The sequence below is a fragment of the Homo sapiens genome, chromosome 1 (assembly GCF_000001405.40).
Source record: "Homo sapiens chromosome 1, GRCh38.p14 Primary Assembly".
In the NCBI taxonomy this organism is placed as follows: Eukaryota; Metazoa; Chordata; class Mammalia; order Primates; family Hominidae; genus Homo; species Homo sapiens.
The window spans coordinates 7689140-7706050 of NC_000001.11; the positions used below are offsets into that span (position 1 = coordinate 7689140).

Here is a 16911-nt window from a genome sequence, read left to right on the forward strand (position 1 = left end):
ACCTGTGGTCCCAGCTACTCGGGAGGCTGAGGCAGGAGAATCGCTTGAACCCAGGAGGCAGAGGTTGCAATGAGCCAAGACCACACCATTGCACTCCAACCTGGATGACAAAAGTGAAACTCCTTCTCAAAAAAAAAAAAAAATCAGTGGCAAGCCAGGCGCGGTGGCTCACACCTGTAATCCCAGCACTTTTGGAAGCTGAGGCAGGAGGATTGCTTGAGGTCAGGAGTTCAAGACCTGCCTGGGCAACATGATGAAACCCTGTCTTGACAAAAAATACAAAAATTAGCCAGGTGTGGTGGCACAGGTGGCACCTGTGGTCCCAGCTACTCGGGAGGCTGAGGCAGGAGGATCGCTTGAGCCCTGGAGGTTGAGGCTGCAGTGAGCTGAGATTGTGCCATTGCACTCTAGCCTGAGTGACAGAGCGAGACCATCTCAAAAAAAAAAGAAAAATCAGTGGCAGAGGGAAAACAGTTGATACACCAAAAACAAACGGAGGTTGTTCAGGAGTTGGAACTTGTCCCATAGTCCAATCTCCTCATTCTTCTGGAAGGAACCCAGGCCCCAGGAAGAGCAGCTGCTGGCCCCAAGCCATCGCTGAATCGGGATGGAAGTCACCTCCTGACTCCTTCTGCATGCTCTCCTCCCTCTGTCTGCCTCCCCTTCTCCATCCCACAGCCAAATTCACCCATGCCCCAGAAGCTAGGACACAAAGGCAGATAAGAAATGAGCCGGCTAGTGGGCACAGTGGCTCGTGCCTGTAATCCCAGCACTTTGGGAGGCCGAGTTGGGCGTATCACCTGAGGTCAGGAGTTCAAGACCAGCTTGACCAACATGGTGAAACCCCGTCTCTACTAGAAATACAAAAAATTAGCCAGGCGTGGTGGCAGGCGCCTGTAATCCCAGCTACTCGGGAGGCTGAGTGAGACAGGAGAATCACTTGAACCCGGGAAGCAGAGGTTGCGGTGAGTCAAGATTGCGCCACTGCACTCCAGCCTAGGCAACAAGAGCGAAACTCCATCTCAAAATAAGAAGAAAGAGCCAGCTGGGAGCCCTGGGCGGCTTCTGTGTGGTGGGTTGTGGTTTCTTTGGCGAGGTCAAGTTTTGCCTCTGGTGTCCCCGCGGAGTGAGCTGACACTCTCCCGGCATTCACACTGGCAGGAGAGAGGGAGCAGTGACCTGGCTCTAGCCCTCTGCTCCCTGGCCCTCATGCAGAAGGACCAGTTCTGGCATCAGCAGATCGGGAGGTACCCAGTGGAGGCCTCAGAGTGTCTCCTGTCATACCAAATCCTGAGATGTGCTGGCATGTGGGCAAGGAACTCTACCCCAGCCCCACACCCCATTTGGTGGTCTTGAGAAGAGCTGGTGACATCCTGCATCACTTCAGTGGCACCAAGCTGCATCGATTGGTCTTGAGACACATGGCAGACTTCTGAGCCACCAGGATTGTTTCTTTCAGCAAAACACCTTCTGGCACAGAGTTGCCACCAGGAGGGACAGCAGCTGACATCTGCACATGCACCACCTGCCAGGACCTGGCCATGAAGTACTGATGTGTACCCATGTGTAGTGACTCACTGAGACTTTCCGGCAACCCGTGAGGCCCCTGTTCCACAGATGGGGATGCTCAGACAACAGTGAGTGGGTGGCGCAGAGAGTCACACACAGCAGTGCGACCCCATCATCCGCTCTTGACCTCTATGCCATGTGAGGCTTCTGGAGCCTCTTCCTGTTGCACCTGCACTACTTTGGAGCTGCCTCCCAGGGCTAGAGCCTGTCCTTGCTTCCCGGTTATTCACGACAACCGTCAGTGGAGTACCCGTTAGGTGCCAGGCACTGCGTCACGTGATGAGTATCAGAAGAAATGGATCAGATGAGGACCTGCAGTCAACGAGCTTCCCGTCCAGGGGAGGAAACATCCGAACTGACCACCTGTCTTCGCACAAACAAGCATTTGGGGACCTTATGATGGAGGATGGTGACTTCTCGAGGAGGTCTGGGAGGGATTTCTTGAAGAAATGACCCCCAAACCAAGAGCTGAACGATGAGCACAAGTTAACTCCCTGAAGAGAGAAGGCAAACATTCCAGGCCGCAGGAATGGCACGCGCAGAAACTCTGTGGTGGGAGGGAGCCATGAAGCCAGTGAGGCAGAGGGGCAGGCAGTGAATCAGGCCACAGGGGCTGGAGGGACCCTCAGAGCCAGGGCTGTGTGTGCCAGGCTTTATCCCCAAGGAGAGGAAAGCCACTGAGGGCTCGAGAGGCAGGGACGTGACCAAGTTGGCTTCTGAAGAAGCGCACATGGCAGCCACATGGAGAACAGATTGAAGGAGGCTCAGAGAGGGTGAGGGGAGACCAGGAAATCATCCTGGCTAGAGATGATGGTAACTTGGCAGTTCTGGGGGCACAGGGACAGTGTGAGAGCCACCGAGGAGATGGCATCAGGAGGTCTTGTGGGTGGATTCACTATGGAGGCTCCATGTCATTCACCTTGGAGGAGGACCAGTCAGGAGTTGAGCTGAGTTTAAGGGGCTTTTGGGACATCTGTGTGAAAAGTCAATGGCAGGTGGGTGTAGCCCCAGAGCTGAGAGAGCAAATAGACAAGAGAGCGAGAGAGAGAGAGAAAGAGAAGTCTGAAATGTCTGCGTGGAGGTGGCACTGAATAAAGCACATCTGTGGGTGTGGAGGAAATTGATAAGCATGACAATATTGCTGAGTCCCAAGGCCAAGAACTTCTGTCTTAATTATCATTGTGCCCCAGTGTAGGGGTCCAGGGACACAGTAGGGTCTCGATGAAGGTTTCTTCAAGGGAGGGAAGGAAGGGAGGGAGGAAGGGAAGGAAGGAGGGAGGGAGGGAGGGAAGGAGGGAGGTACAGATGGCCTAGTGGTATCTTCAGGGCCATTGTCCTCAGGGCTGACTGCAGCTTTAGGATCCAGCCACCCGGATATCCTCTCTGACATCAGAACCAGGCTGGGTAGGGTGTCCAGGACTAACCAGGCAGCGTCACCTCCCTTTGGGTCTCCCTGTCACTGAACAAGCTCCAGGCAAATGACCCAAGACCAAAGTGCAGAAGCTTGACCCTCTGCTACCTCTTTATTGAACCTGCCCTGAGGCTGCCTTCAGAGCTTTTAAAGGGCCACCTGGTGAGAAATCCTCCCTTCAGCTCACTGAAGCTGGAAGAGAAAGGAAAAAGCACTTTTCTTCCTGGAGCTGCTCAGCCCTCTCTCTAGGCCTCAGAGAGGGAGGGGGTTTCTCAGGCCGGTCCTTGGCAAGTCACTACATGGTAGGTTGTGGTGCATGGACCCTGGAGGAGAGCCTCATCTGACCCTCTGTAATGCCCCTGACCCAGTCCCACATTAGCCTGGTGAAGGAAAGAAAGAACGAAAGAAAGAATGAATGAATGAATGAGTGAGTAGGTGAGTCGGGGCCATGAAAACCTCCCTATGCACAGGAATCCTGCTGCTTCAAAACACACTGGTGTGACAGTGACAGTAATGATCACCAGCCAGGCCCCAGGCCTGGTGCTTCACATCATGGCCCTGTTGAAGCCTCCCAGCACCCAGCCTCAGGTTGTCATTCACAGGCACCTCACCCCCAAACTGGGTCATAAACTATATGGAAGAAACAGCGTTGATAGGTGGCAGCCCGTCCACCCACCTGTCATTCAGCAGTACCTGCTAGAACCAAGGCTTTACCCATCAACCAGGCATCCCCCCACCCCCCAGGAACTCACAGCCCAGGGCAGGGGGCACACGGAACAACACAATTAATGTGAGGAGTGCTTGAGTGTCCGGGAGGTGTGAGAAGCCAGGGGAACCCCTCTGTGCCTCCATCTGGAGGGAACACACTTGACAGTGGCTAATTCTCTATCAAAACTGTAATGTGTGCTCATAGGAGTGCCCTTCATATATAGAAAGAATGTGCAAGTGTTAATGTATCAGTCTGTTTTCACACCGCTGATAAAGACATAGCCAAGACTGAGCAATTTACAAAAGAAAGGGGTTTAATTGGACTTACAGTTCCACGTGGCTGGGGAAGTTTCACAATCATGGTGGAAGGCAAGGAGGAGCAAGTCACATCTTACATGGATGGTAGCAGGCAAAGGGAGAAAGAGCTCTTACAGGGCAACTCCTGTTTTTAAAACCATCAGATCTCGTGAGATGTATTCACTATCGTGAGAACAACACAGGAAAGACTTGCCTCCATGATTCAATTATCTTCGACTGGGTCCCTCCCACAACACATGGAAATTCAAGATGAGATTTGGGTGGGGACACAGCCAACCATATCAGTTAGCCACCTGTCAAGTTAAAGGGAGCACCATCCACATAAGACCACCTTTATTGCTGCACCAACTGCAAGGGGTACCCTAGACCACCCTCAGGTTTGATCATTCACTGGAAGGACGCAGAACTCATCAAAAGCTCTCATACTCACAGTTGCACATTATTACATCAAAAGGATACAGATTAAAATCAGCCAAGGGAGGAAGGGCATAGGGCATAGTCCAGGAAGGTACCAGACATGGAGCTTCCACTGTCCTCTTCCCCATGGAATCATGAAAAGCATGACTTTCCTGGCATTGATGTGTGACAGTACCCATGGAGTACTGCCAACCAGGGCAGCTCACCATAGCCCCAGTGTTCAGAGTTTTTATTGCGGCTCCATCACACAGGTGACTGCCCTCCCTCTCCAGCTCCTCCAGAGTCAGCTGATACCACGTGACCCAAAGACCCCACCCTAAGTCACATTGTTGGTCTTTCTGGCACAGCCAACCCCTACCCTAAACCTATCCAGTGTGGCCAGCATCTACCCTAAATCATATGGTTAGACCATTCTGTGACACAAGGATCCCAGGCAAACAAACTCCAATCAGGCATGATATTCCAAGGGCTTAGAGTTCACCTCCCAGAAGGTGAGGACAAAAGCCAGACCTCTCTTTGGGCAACGTTAAATTCTTTCCTACACAAAATGCCATCTTCCCACTCCTCTGCACCCACTTGCTTGCACCTGCTTCCCCTACTCCTCACCCCAGAGACCAGATTCTTTTCAGTATCTTTATCGAGGGAGGAAAGGGTTGTTGTGTGTCTGAGGTGTTTGTTGTTGTTAAAGCATGGCTCCTACACAGATCTTATGTAGTATTCAGCAGTTCTCTGGGGACAAAGAGCACATTTTACTATGAGAAATAGTTTGGGTGAATACTTTGTCGTCTGCAGAAAATATTGTGCAGAGCTCCAGTTTTCCTAGATGGAGATGTGAAATTAACTAAATTACAGATCAGTCCACCTAAAATATGAAATTAAATGACAAATTCCAGGAGCCTTTGACTGCTAAGGTCATTATTCTAACATATGATTCCAATCACCTTTTTAAATTGCTCACCTGTGCCATGGTCCACGATGCCCTGGAAACAACACTGCCTCCTGTCTCTGTCCTGCAGACGGCACCCCTGGCTCAAGCAATGCTCTCCTCTCGGTCAAGTGTCCTCCCAATGGCTCCATTTGCTGTGCGGGGTTGTAAACGGCTCCATTTTAAGCCACCAGCTCCCTCCCTCCGGCCCTCTCTGCTGTCTCCCTCTCCTGTGCTGGGGGCTGGGAGGCTGAAGGAAGCCCTAGCACCACTGTCCCCTCCTCGATGGCTACTCTTCTCCAACAAGACCTCTCTTCCTCTCCTCAACACTGATGGGAATGGATCGGACCTTGCAATTAGTGCCCAGCTGGGTGCAGACAGGGATCTCTGAGCCAGGGCGGGGACCTGGGGAGAGAGCATTCCTGCTCAATAATTCACCCTTAAGGGAAAGGAAAGCTACGAATGCAGCATTCAGCCATTTTCCAAGACATTAACAATTCAGTGTAATTCCTGAGGCATAAAAAATGCATCATTGCTCTAATTTTATAAGCTCCATGATGTTTATTATGACATCAGAAGGTCTGGTCTGGGTCACCCAGGAGAGCTAAAGCCAGGAGAAACCGGTAGATAGCTCTGTACAGGGCCTGCACAGAGGTGCTTTGGAGCCAGCCCAGAAATGCTGCAGACACAGCCCCCACGAGGTGGGACCTGATGCCCTGGAAGCCCCCAGCACTCTGGAACTTGGAAATGACTGACGCATTCATCATGAGTCTTTACACCCCTCCCCTGGAAAGCAGCAGGCAAGAGCGAGCTCTGAGCAGAGAGAAGAGGGCGCGGCAGGGAGCCTGAAGCTCCAAGGCCCCCAATTGCACTCAAAGACATCATTCCTCCCCGGCGTTCTCATTTTTTCATTCCCAGTAACAGAGTGAGTGGGTGCTCATTTTTATATTTGGTGAAACGCCCTGGCATTATTCCAAGTCACTTGAAAGTGAGATTAGACCAGGAGGATCACTGGGTGGGGCTGCGTTTCTTGTTCCCACTCTGGAGACAGAGCACGATCCATGGTATTTCACTTTGGACATAGGTGCTTCTTAGGCCCTGGGGGGCAGCAGAGCCAAGCAGGGGACAGCCTCCACTTCATTGGTTCCAGAGCCAGTGAGGTGCTGGCCTGCATGGGACTGTGGCTGCACCATGAGGGGCCACAGTGACAAAGTGACCCAGGGTGCCAAAGAGAGATCAGCAGGGGGTGGGGGCATGCGAGTGTGTGTCATGTGTGCGCTTTTCCCTGGCCACTTTTTTCTTTTTCTAAGTAATGTCATTTAGCACCAAAGGTATCTGCAAATGCTCCCTGAACTAAATATGTCAGCTCTGCCTCCCCTGGTGCAGGAGACGGCTGTCATTTAAAATGCACTTGCACAGAATTGGGCCTTCCTTTGTGATTGCTCTGTCTCCTGTTGGTAACAGCACAGCTCCTCTCTTCATGACCTTGGTACTTATTATTCTTAGGGAGTAGCTAGTTGCTTCCCTAAAAGGACAACTTTCCAGCTCTCATTTTCACGGGTACCTGACAGTGGCTCAGTGGCTGTGAGGATGGTGATGTCAAAATGGCTTTCTCATAAATGTCACAGTCTTTTGACTCCACTGTTGCCTATGAGAGAGCACACTTGTTTCTCTTTAATTAGATCTCTAAGTTTTTGTTTTGTTGTTGCTGTTTTGTTTTGTTTTTTGATACGGAGTCTCACACTGTCACCCAGGCCAGAGTACAGTGGCGCAATCTCGGCTCATTGCAACCTCCACCTCCCAGGTTCAAGCAATTCTCCTGCCTCAGCCTCCGAGTAGCTGGGACTACAGGCACCACCACCACACCTGGCTACTTTTTTGTATTTTTAGTAGAGACAGGGTTTCACTATATTGGCCAGGCTGGTCTCGAACACCTGACCTCGTGATCCTCCCTCCTCAGCCTCCCAAAGTGCTGGGATTACAGGCGTGAGCCACAGTGCCCAGCCAGTTTTTTTTTTTTTTAAAATAAATGTTATCTGCTTTATAAGAAAGCCACACCATGACAGCTTGATTTAGTGCATTTTTTGAGAGTACTTTTCTGATTAAAATGCCCATTTACCACTGTGACTCTACTGGGCTGTAGGGTACACGGCATCCTCTTTGAAGGCTCAGTGGGGTCTTTCTGCCTCATGGAAAAGTTGACTGTAGCCCCACAGGACCTCTGATGCTGTCTCAGACCTGAAGACTGGGGTCTCCTGAGCACCTCTTCAGGAGCTTGAGAAGGGTTGGACCCTGCACAGGGAGCCGTAGAGAAGGCCGTGGCAGCCCATACACTCTGCACGGGAGGATCTGTGAGCCCTTAGCCAGGTGAAGAAGTGCATGGACATGTGGGAATTCTTGCTTAGAAGAAACAGCCTGTATTGCTTTGCTGGTGCAGGCTGGGCTGGGTGGGACCTGTGAGTTAAACCAGTGCATGCTAAGAGGTCTGGGCCTAGGTCGTCTCACTCCAGCTACTCCTGAATGGCTACAGAATAAGATTCCGTTGGAGCACCTCTCTTGTACCTGTGTGGGATTACTCAATCTGCCTAGGGCATCCTGGCCAACTCCCTCACACAGCTGCTGTGCAGGCAGGAAAGGCAAGCTCATTCGAACAGCATAGGGAGGAAAGTGGCAGGAAGGCATCTGCCACCCTGAAAGATCTGGAGCACATCCTGAGGACAGGAGGACCCGAAGTGATGGTGATTTCCGGGTTCTATCCCCTGAGCCCTCACTGGGCACCCACCAGGCCCTGGGCTATCTATTTAAGTTTATTATCCAACTTCATCCCGGCCGTATTCCAGATCTTTCCATCCCCATTCTATTGACGAGGAGCCTGAATCTTAGAGGAGTCAAGTGACTTGTCCTGTGTCACACCGCTGGGGATTCGAACTCAGGGCCATCTGACATTGCAGCCCAGTGGGCACTTTTTCACCATGCCTTCCCACCACCTGAATTGATTTGGGACAATCCGCTTTTTAGTATCCTGCTCCCCTTCACAGCAGAGATGTCTCTGCATTTCGCCCACTTTAATGGGGAGAATAGCTGTGTATTTTAACATCCAACATGTGTGTAATAGTGGGGGCCTGGTAGAAGTTGCTGGCGGAATGGATGGGCCTGTGTCAGCCAGCAGGGAGAATGAGTTGAAGGTGGTTTCACTCCGCTTCCTTGGATTCTTTTCTGCATTATGTCCATTAGGAGAAACCTGCCAGTTTTTGGGCTGATGGCTAATGCATCTCTTCCTCCCTCCATATTACAGCTGGCACCTTCCCAGGATGACGCCAATCATGGCATATCCTGGTAGCAAACACTGTTTCTCCCCACTATCCTCCACATCACTGTCAGGACCATTATCTCTGGCCGTATAACAAGCCAACCCAAAGCTGAATGGCTCAAAATGATGAGAATGGGTACTTTCTCTTGATGCCGTGGGTTGGCCAAGCTCACACATGCAACTGCACTCATGGGACTGATGATTTTAAGCCCAGAGTCCCTGCAGCTGAAGCATAGGGGCACCTGCTCTGTCAGGTCATGCTGGCCACGCACTGTGACCCCCCCCCCCCCCACCAACATGGCCTTAGACCTGTCCCTTCAGCAGCAACAACGGATTTGGATTAAACAGGATTTTTAAAGAATTATGTTGAGACTCTAGTCCAGGGTGTCCAATCTTTTGTCTTCCCTGGGCCACAGCAGAAGAAGAAGAATTGTCTTGGGTCACACATAAAGTACACTAACACTAATGATAGCTGATTAGGTTAAAAAAATCACACACAAAAAAATTTCATAATGTTTTAAGAAGGTTTACGAATTTGTGTTGGGCCACATTCAAAGCTGTCCTGGCTGGCATGCAGCCCACTGACTGCGGGCTGGACAACCTTGCAGTGTAGTCTAAACTGATTTTACAGAGGAGGAAACTGAGGCACAGGAAGGGAAAGGAGCTTGCCATACAGGTAGTTCTGGGGGGCAAGGGGGGGTGCGGAACTGGAACCAGAGCCCAGGCTGCTGACCCCAGGCCAGGACCCCGTTCCCCACCTCAGTGCCTCCTTCTTCCTGGATGGCTCAGGGGCCCTGACAGGTGCAGCTCAGCTGGAGATGTTTGAGGCTCTCTGCAAAGCTCCCCCTTTCCCCTGAGTCAGCCAACCATTGTGATCTGCAAGGAAAATCCCAAGTTCTGAATGCTGTTCTCGCCAGGATCCCCAGCTGTCAGGGACATCATCATGGCCAGCAGGGACTTTACAGACTCACCCCTGGCTTTTTCACGACCTTCAGAAGCACTGTCAAACTGCCTGTCTTCTGACATCTTCTGCCCTGGGCATCACCATCGTGTGACTCAGGGCCTCCCCTGTGCCAGTCTCATCTCCTCACTGAGTAGTCATGGGACAGGGCCTGTCTATTCAGATTCCCCTCCTGCCACTGCACCCCACATTGGCCCAGACCGACTCACTGGGAGGATCGGCCATCAGACTCTCCTGACCTGGGCCTAGCTTTTTCCGTCGGTCAGTCTTCTTTTCTCAAGTTAAATCCATTGATTTCTATTCTATACTTCTTCATTCTCTTTCTATTCTCCTTTGTCTATGTGTGTGTGTTACAGCATTATTGAGACATAATTAACATACCATACAATTTACCTATTTGAAGTACAAAGTTTCTGAGTGTTTTCACAGGGTTGTGCAGTCATCACCACAAACTAATTTTAGAACATTTTCATCCCCCAAGAAACATCCTGCTGCCCATGAACCAGGGTCACTCCCCATTCCTCCTCAGCTCCCCCCCACCACCCTCCCTAGGCAATTATTGATCTATTTCCTGTCACCATAAACTTTCCTAATCTGGACATTTTCTATAAATGATGTAATACAATGTATGGACTTGTGGCTGGCTTCTTGCACTTAGCATGATGTTTTTAAGGTTCACCCATGTTGCAGCATGTATCAGTACTTCATTATTTTTATTGCTAAGTAAATGTCCATATGTATGGACATCTCCTTTCATTCTCTTGGATATATACCTAGGAATGGAATGGCTGGGTCACATCATAACTTTATAATTAACCTTTTGAAGAACTGCCAGACTGTTTTCCTAAGTAGCTGTGCCATTTTACATTTCCACCACCAGTGTACAAAAGTTCAAATTTCTCCACATCCTTGCCAACGCTTGTTATTGTCTTTCTTTGTGATTATAGTCACTTAGTGGGTGTGAAGTGGTATCTCATTGTGGTTTTGATTTGCATTTCCTCAGTGACTTTGATTTCCTCAAATCAAATGTTGAGCATTATTGATTATTGCCCTTATTATTGATCTTCTTTGGAGAAATGTCTATTCAGATACTTTGCCCATTTTAAAAACTGGGTTCTTTGCTTTTTATTTTTGAGCTGTAAGAGTTCTCTTTATATTTGAGATACAAGTCCCTTATGAAATATGAGATTTGCAAATATTTTCTCCCTTTTAGTGAAATGTCTTTTTACTTCTTGATGTTGCCCTTTGAAGCAAAGAGGTTTTCAATTTTGATAATGTTCAATTTATTTATTTTTTCCTTTGGTTGCTTGTGCTTTTGATATATTTAAGAAACTATCGCCAAATCCAAGGTCATGAAGGTTTACTGCCGTATTTTTTTTCCAAGAGTTTTGTAGCTTTACCTCTTATATGTAGGTCTTTGATCCACTTTGAGTTACATTTTATATATGGTGTGAGGCAGGGGTTCAACTTCATTCTTTTTCATGTGGATAGCCCATTGTCCTAGCCCCATTTGTTGAAGACGATTCTTTCCCCATTGAATTGCCTTGTCAGCTTTACCTGTGGCTTTTTAAAATATTTTCTATTTCTTCAAGCCTTAAAGATATACTGAATATGCATCTTGCTCTTATTTTTAAATTGTCACTTAGTTTGAGCAGAATCTTATGATTTTTTCTTTTACTGGAAGTTGATATATACAGAAACATCTGATTTCTTATCAGACAGGAGAGGTTAGATTATACTGCAGTAACAACCAATTCAATCTCAGGACTGGATTTCTCATTCATGCTACAAGTCCAACTACAATTGCTAGGGAGGGCCCTACTCATCATGGTCACACAGGGGCCCCGGCTGGCAGAGGCTACCTTTTCCTATAAACAAGCTTGCACAATTGCCAGGGCCGGGGGAAAGAATGTGTTGGGCAGGTCACTGGCTCTTAAAGCTTCTATCTGTAATAATACACATCAGATTTATTCATGTTTCATTGGCTCAAGAAAGTCACATGGTCACATCTAACTTCAAAGGGTACAGGCCAGTGCAAAGCACCCCCAGGGATAGCAACCAGAGATATTTGGTATATAATATTAATGACTACCATTTCCCTGGAGTGTATTGAAATGTAACAGGTGTAATGAAATCAGTTGATGTGGACTTTCTGTTGTGCATCTCGAACTTTAATCACTGTGGTAAAATTCCTTTGTAGAGATCAAGGCTGCATCGAGCCAAGATCATGGCATTACTCTCCAGCCTGGGCAACAGAGTGAGATCCTGTCTCAAAAAACAAAAAAATCCTTTGTAGAAATTTCCAGACTGTTCTGTTAAACAAATGATATCTACTTAATGGTAAGAGTTTTTAGGTGCTTGGAATAGGGCAGAATGAACACAGGCTCTGAAGTGAAACCCAGATCCACTGCTTTCCAGCTGTGTGGCTTTGAGCAAGTTATCTGACTTTTTGAAGCTTTCGTCTTACCCTCTATGGAATATCCTGCTTGCAGGAGACTTAGCAGCAGCGTGAGTGCCTGGCACAACAGCAGGCAGATAACAGGCATCCAACAGACTGAAATTCCCTTCTTCCTCCTCTGCAACAGGATCCACCCCCTGGGTTCATCCTGAGACCCTCAGCAGGGTTAGGGCTGATATATCAACTCCCTGTATCTGCTTTTTTTCTCCCCCTTTTTGAGACAGGGTCTTGCTCTGTTGCCCAGGCTGGAATGCAGTGGTGTGATCATGGCTTACTGCAGCCTCAACCTCCTGGGTTCAAGCAATCCTCTCGCCTCAGCCTCCCAAATAGCTAGGACTACAGACACACACCACCACACCCCGCTAATTTTTTTTAAAAAAAATTGTAGAGAGGAGATCTCACCATGTTGCCCAGGCTGGTCTCGAACTCCTGGGTTCCAGTGATCCTCCTGCCTCAGCCTCCTAAAAGTACTGGGATTACAGGTGTGAGCCACCGTGCCCGGCTGTATCTGCTTTAAAGGACAAAAATTGCACTTAACCTTGGTACTGCCAATGGACTCATAACTGAGTATTCTTTTTCTCTATTTTACAAAACAACCCAGGTATGCTCAAAGCCCCATAAAAACCCAGTGTAACAATATGCTTGAATCATGCGCGTGCCTTATTCTCTCATCTTCTAACTTGGAAGAAAGAACATGAATACCACAAGGAACCACCTGTGGAGATTCAGTTTTAGGGCGCTGGCAGCACTCGGGGCTTGCCTCAGGAGCACCCAGCTCATCCCACCCTAGCTCTGCCTGACTTTCCAAGAAAGGGACCCAAGGAAGCCTCCTGCTCCTGTGGTGCAGTGAGTGGCAGGCACTCCAGGAGAAGAACGAGCCCAGCCGAGAAACAATACCAGGACATTCCCCATGCAGAAACGTCACCCCAGGCTCCTGACCCCAACCCACTCAGCAGGGCTCAGCCAGTGCCTCCTGGGCTGCTGCAGCCATGACCCCACCTGTCCCACCTGCTCGGCAGAGGTGGGGCTGCTGCAGGAAGGGTGAGGGGTCATGGGTACCCCTGAGGCCCCTCCTTCAGACAGCTGGGATGCCAGGGCTGAAACTTGTGTCTGCCAAAACAAACAAACAAACAAACAACAACAACAGGAAAAAGAACTTCCCCACCTGAGAGAGAAAAGACTGAAGATTCCTTCTCTTTAACTGGGCTTCAGGTGCCTGAACTGGATCCAAATCACCACGAGTTCCCCGGCACTTTAGAGTACAGAGGCAGGCGCTGTCTCTCCTGTCAGCCTCCACCCCTGCTGGTCTCTTGCTCACAATCCATTCAGAGCAATTCAACAACCATCAGCTGAGCACTTACAGCGTGCCCCGCCAGCACTGTGCAAGCTGCTGGGATGTCAGGCTTTGTTCTTGTTCTCAAGGAGATGAGGGCTGTCCTGCTCTTAGTGAAAAACAACTAACTTCTAGAAACACTTTTTATTAATGTATGATGGACATATGGAAAAGTGCACATATTCTAAGTATGCAACTCAATGATTTTTCACAAACTAAAACCAGTGCCCAGGTCGAGATTAAAACAGCACCAGAAACCCAGAAGCCACCCCAACCCCAGCCTCCAGCCACTCCTCCTCGCCCCCAAGTACCCCGTTTTGGCAAAGCTGGCAACGGTAGCTAACTTTGATTGAATGTACATCAGTGCCAGGCACTGGTACATGCACCTTCCACCTATTGATTCCTTTAACTCCCGCACCATAGATATGAAGGCACAGACAGTGGAGCACACAGCTAGCAACGAGCCCACTCTGAACCCAGGGGGGTTGGTTTCCCGAGCCTATGTGTCCCTGATGACTACCCTTTCATTGCCGCCCTGGAAAACAAACAGAACTCACTCACTGTGTACTGCAACACCAACACATAACAAAGCTGGAGGTTTGGTTCTGCTGAGAGCGTCAGGAAAAGCCACTGAGGGTGGCCAGATTTGAGCTGGACCTTGATGAATGCATAGGAGTCTCCCTAGCAGATAAAGGGGAGGAGTTGCATAGCAAAGGTGGTGGGGGGAGCGTGCAAGGGGTCCTGCGTGGTGACCCGGGGGGCGGGCGAGGGGTAGACAGGTGCAGTGGGAATACTGACCTAGAGCAGGATTGGAATATGTACTGGGGCTTTGCCAGGGCAGGCTTCGGAACAGGAGAGGAACTTGCTCAGGTTTACAGTGGGTGGCAGCCCCCAAGGGAAGCCATGGACGATCTACCGGCATGGGCAGGACCCAGCTTGGTCAGGGTGTCCTTCACGCGGCCTCTAACCAGCGATTCCTCATTGGGTGTACAGGCTTAAGGGCTCTGCAAATGTTGGGGTTGTTTCTGTGTGCGTTTGGGTAGGGTCAGAAAAGAGACTCCGCCCCCAATTTCGAGACACCTTTTTACCCAGGTGGCAGAGACATGGCCGATTTTACAGATAATTGACTGTATCTATATATCTATATCTATTAGTATATAACAAAAACAAAATAGGCGGTCTCATCACAGGTCTTGGGGTCAGGCACTTTCTCTGTGCGAGGCCGTGGGACTGCAAACAGCACAGGGAAAAAAGAAAGCGGGATCCGCTCGGGACGCCTGAGCCTCGATTAAGAGGTGCGGCTCGGGATTTGTGGCCGGGGCGAGAGACCCTCACGCAGAAGTCCCCAAGTGCGCAGGGCTGGAGCTGGAACTTTGGAACGCGGAGGTTAGACCCAAAGGGTGGGCGGAGCCTGCACTCCAGCTAAGGGGGCCCAGCGCCGCACCCCCTCCCCAAAGCCGGAGCCGCCGCCACCGTCCCCGCCCACCGTCCTCCGCCCCGCCCTGGCCCTCCCCGGGTCCTCGGGCCCCGGCCCCCTCCCTCCAGCCTGGCCCCCACGCCTCCCCGCTCGTTGCGCAGCGCCGGCTCCTCCCGCCGGCTGCATTGCAGACGCCGCCGCCGCAGGGCGCGCCGGGGCCGCGCAGGGAGCCCGAGCCCGGGAACGCGGGCCCTCGGCGCGGAGCTTCGGGCGGCCCCGACGGCGCGGGGAGCCAGGCAGGGCGGGCGCGGGGCGGCCCCGCGGGAAGGGGAACGGGAGGCCCGCGCGGGGCTCCGGGGGCCGTCGGCCCGGGCAGCGGGCGCAGCCGTCGGGCTCCGAGCCGTCCCGGCCTCGAGGGAACCGTCGCCGCCCCATTCGCGGGCCGCGCTGAGCCGGGCGGGCGGAGCGGCGGGGACCGCGTCGCGAGGGACCGGGGGCCCGGCTCTCGCGCGGGGACGCCCGGGCCGCGCTCCGCCCGCAACCTCCGGCCGGGCCCCCGCCGTCCAGCGCGGCTCGGGCGCAGTTCCGGCGCAGTCCCCGCGCCGAGCGGCTCCGCGCCCCGCACCAGCCTCTGCCCGGCTCCGGGTGACGTCGCATCCTCCGATTGGACCACGCGGCCTGGGGGGCGGGGTCTGGTCCGGTGAGCTCACCGCCGCGCCCCGCCATTGGTCCGGGCGGCGCACTCGGGCAGTGGCGGGGAGACCGCGGTACCCGGAGCCCCGCGAGTCGTTCCAGCTGCGGCGAGTGGAGCTGAGCGGGCGCGGGGCCGGGCTGGGCCGGGCCGGGCGGGGCCGGGCGGGGCGCGGGAGCCAGTGAGCGGCGGCTCGGCGCAAGCCTGACGAGCAGGAGCCGAGCTCAGCAGGTCCGGGTAGGTGCGCGGCGGCGCGGGGCTAGGCGGAGGGCGCGTGCGGTCGAGGGCGGCGGCCGGCGGGGGCGCGCGCGGGGCGGGGGCGGGGCCGGGGCGTGGGGACACGCGTGCTCGCGGGCCGGGGGCGTGGTGCGCGGCCACGCGTGTTTCTGGCGCGAGTGTGCGGGGCCAGGCCGGGAGGGCGTGCGCGGACCGGGCGTGTTTACGCGCGGCAGGGAGGGGCCACGAGGGTGCGCGCGTTTCTGGCGCGAGTGGGAAGTGTGGGGATCCGGCGGGCCCGGTGTGAGGGGCGTGTTTCTGGGGCGAGAGTGGGGAGTGAGTGTGAGGAGCAAGGGTGAGGGGCTGCAGGGAGGGGTGCGTTTGGCCGAGGAGTGGGTGGGAGACACGCGTGTCCATGCCGCGAGGGTGTGTCGACGCCCGAGCCTGCGTGGGGCCCGGGGCCGTGTGTCTGGAGTGGCCGAGGGCGTGAGGGGCGCGCGTGTTTGTGCGAGGGGCGTGTGCGGCGGGTGTGAGCCACGCGTGTCTGGGTGCGCGCGCGGGCCGGATGAGCTTCTGGAGTGGTGCGAGGACGCGCGCGTGTGTCTGTGTCGGAGCGAGGGCGGGGACGAGCGTGTCGGGCGCGCGCGGGCGGGGCTGGGGCGGCGTCGGGGCGCGCGGGGGCCCGGCCCGGCCGGCGGCGAGTGTGTTGGGGCGCTCGGCTTCTCCTCAACACGGGTTTTTGGGACCCAGTGCCGCCTCCTTCCCGCGGCGGGGCCCGCGGAGCTCCCGGTTTCCCTGGGCAGACAGGTGCGAGGCGAGGTGCGGGCACAGCCCTGCGCTCCTCAGCGGGTGCGGGATCGGGCGACGGGGGACTGTCTCTAACTACAGACCAGGGGAGCGGAGGGACGCTCGATTCACCCGCGTGCACAGGGCAGTCCTGAAAGTGGATGGAAGGCTCGGAGGAACTTCTGAGAGCTTTGCTTCCCTGCAGACTGGCGACCAGAGAGCACTTTCCACGCGCAGATGGGCCAGGATAGATGCTCGGGGTGGCCCTTTTGCATTTTCGGAGCTCTGGTGATTGGGTTTCTAGGTATTGCGCCTCTTTAGAGGTGGCGCTGATGGCGTTCTGGTGTTTGAGACTTTTTCGATCTCTGTAGATTACTGCAGACATCAAAAG

At 52.9% G+C, this 16911-nt stretch overlaps 1 protein-coding gene and 1 long non-coding RNA gene across 44 annotated transcripts in view, besides 1 other annotated feature; one reads left to right on the forward strand and one right to left on the reverse strand.

The window, feature by feature from the left end:
* CAMTA1 (calmodulin binding transcription activator 1) overlaps positions 1–16911 on the forward strand; it is a 984253-nt gene that overhangs the window by 903686 nt on the left and 63656 nt on the right. For 7 of the 42 annotated variants that reach the window (NM_001349616.2, NM_001349615.2, NM_001349618.2 and 4 more), the window contains exon 1: positions 15597–15755. The exons of 34 other annotated variants lie outside the window; for them this stretch is intronic. The gene's annotated coding sequence lies outside the window, so the exon portion shown is untranslated. Of the gene's footprint in view, positions 1–15596; positions 15756–16911 lie in introns of those variants that run through there. One more of the 42 variants, XM_024454332.2, reaches the window with a different exon arrangement.
* LOC105376689 (translation initiation factor IF-2) lies at positions 3985–15423 on the reverse strand. 2 transcript variants are annotated; one of them, NR_188653.1, is made up of 5 exons: positions 14209–15423; positions 13972–14091; positions 13243–13519; positions 12480–12585; positions 3985–11884 (listed from the first exon to the last, which is right to left on the reverse strand). It is a non-coding gene; the product is annotated as a translation initiation factor IF-2 (long non-coding RNA). The 2 variants fall into 2 exon arrangements; NR_188652.1 differs by having other exon boundaries at positions 13243–13514; positions 13968–14091.
* Positions 15344–15763: a silencer, noted in NCBI's record as "silent region_185". NCBI's record gives its function as "represses an Ori minimal core promoter by ATAC-STARR-seq in GM12878 lymphoblastoid cells {active_cell/tissue: GM12878}" and the evidence as "EXISTENCE:reporter gene assay evidence [ECO:0000049][PMID:35858748]".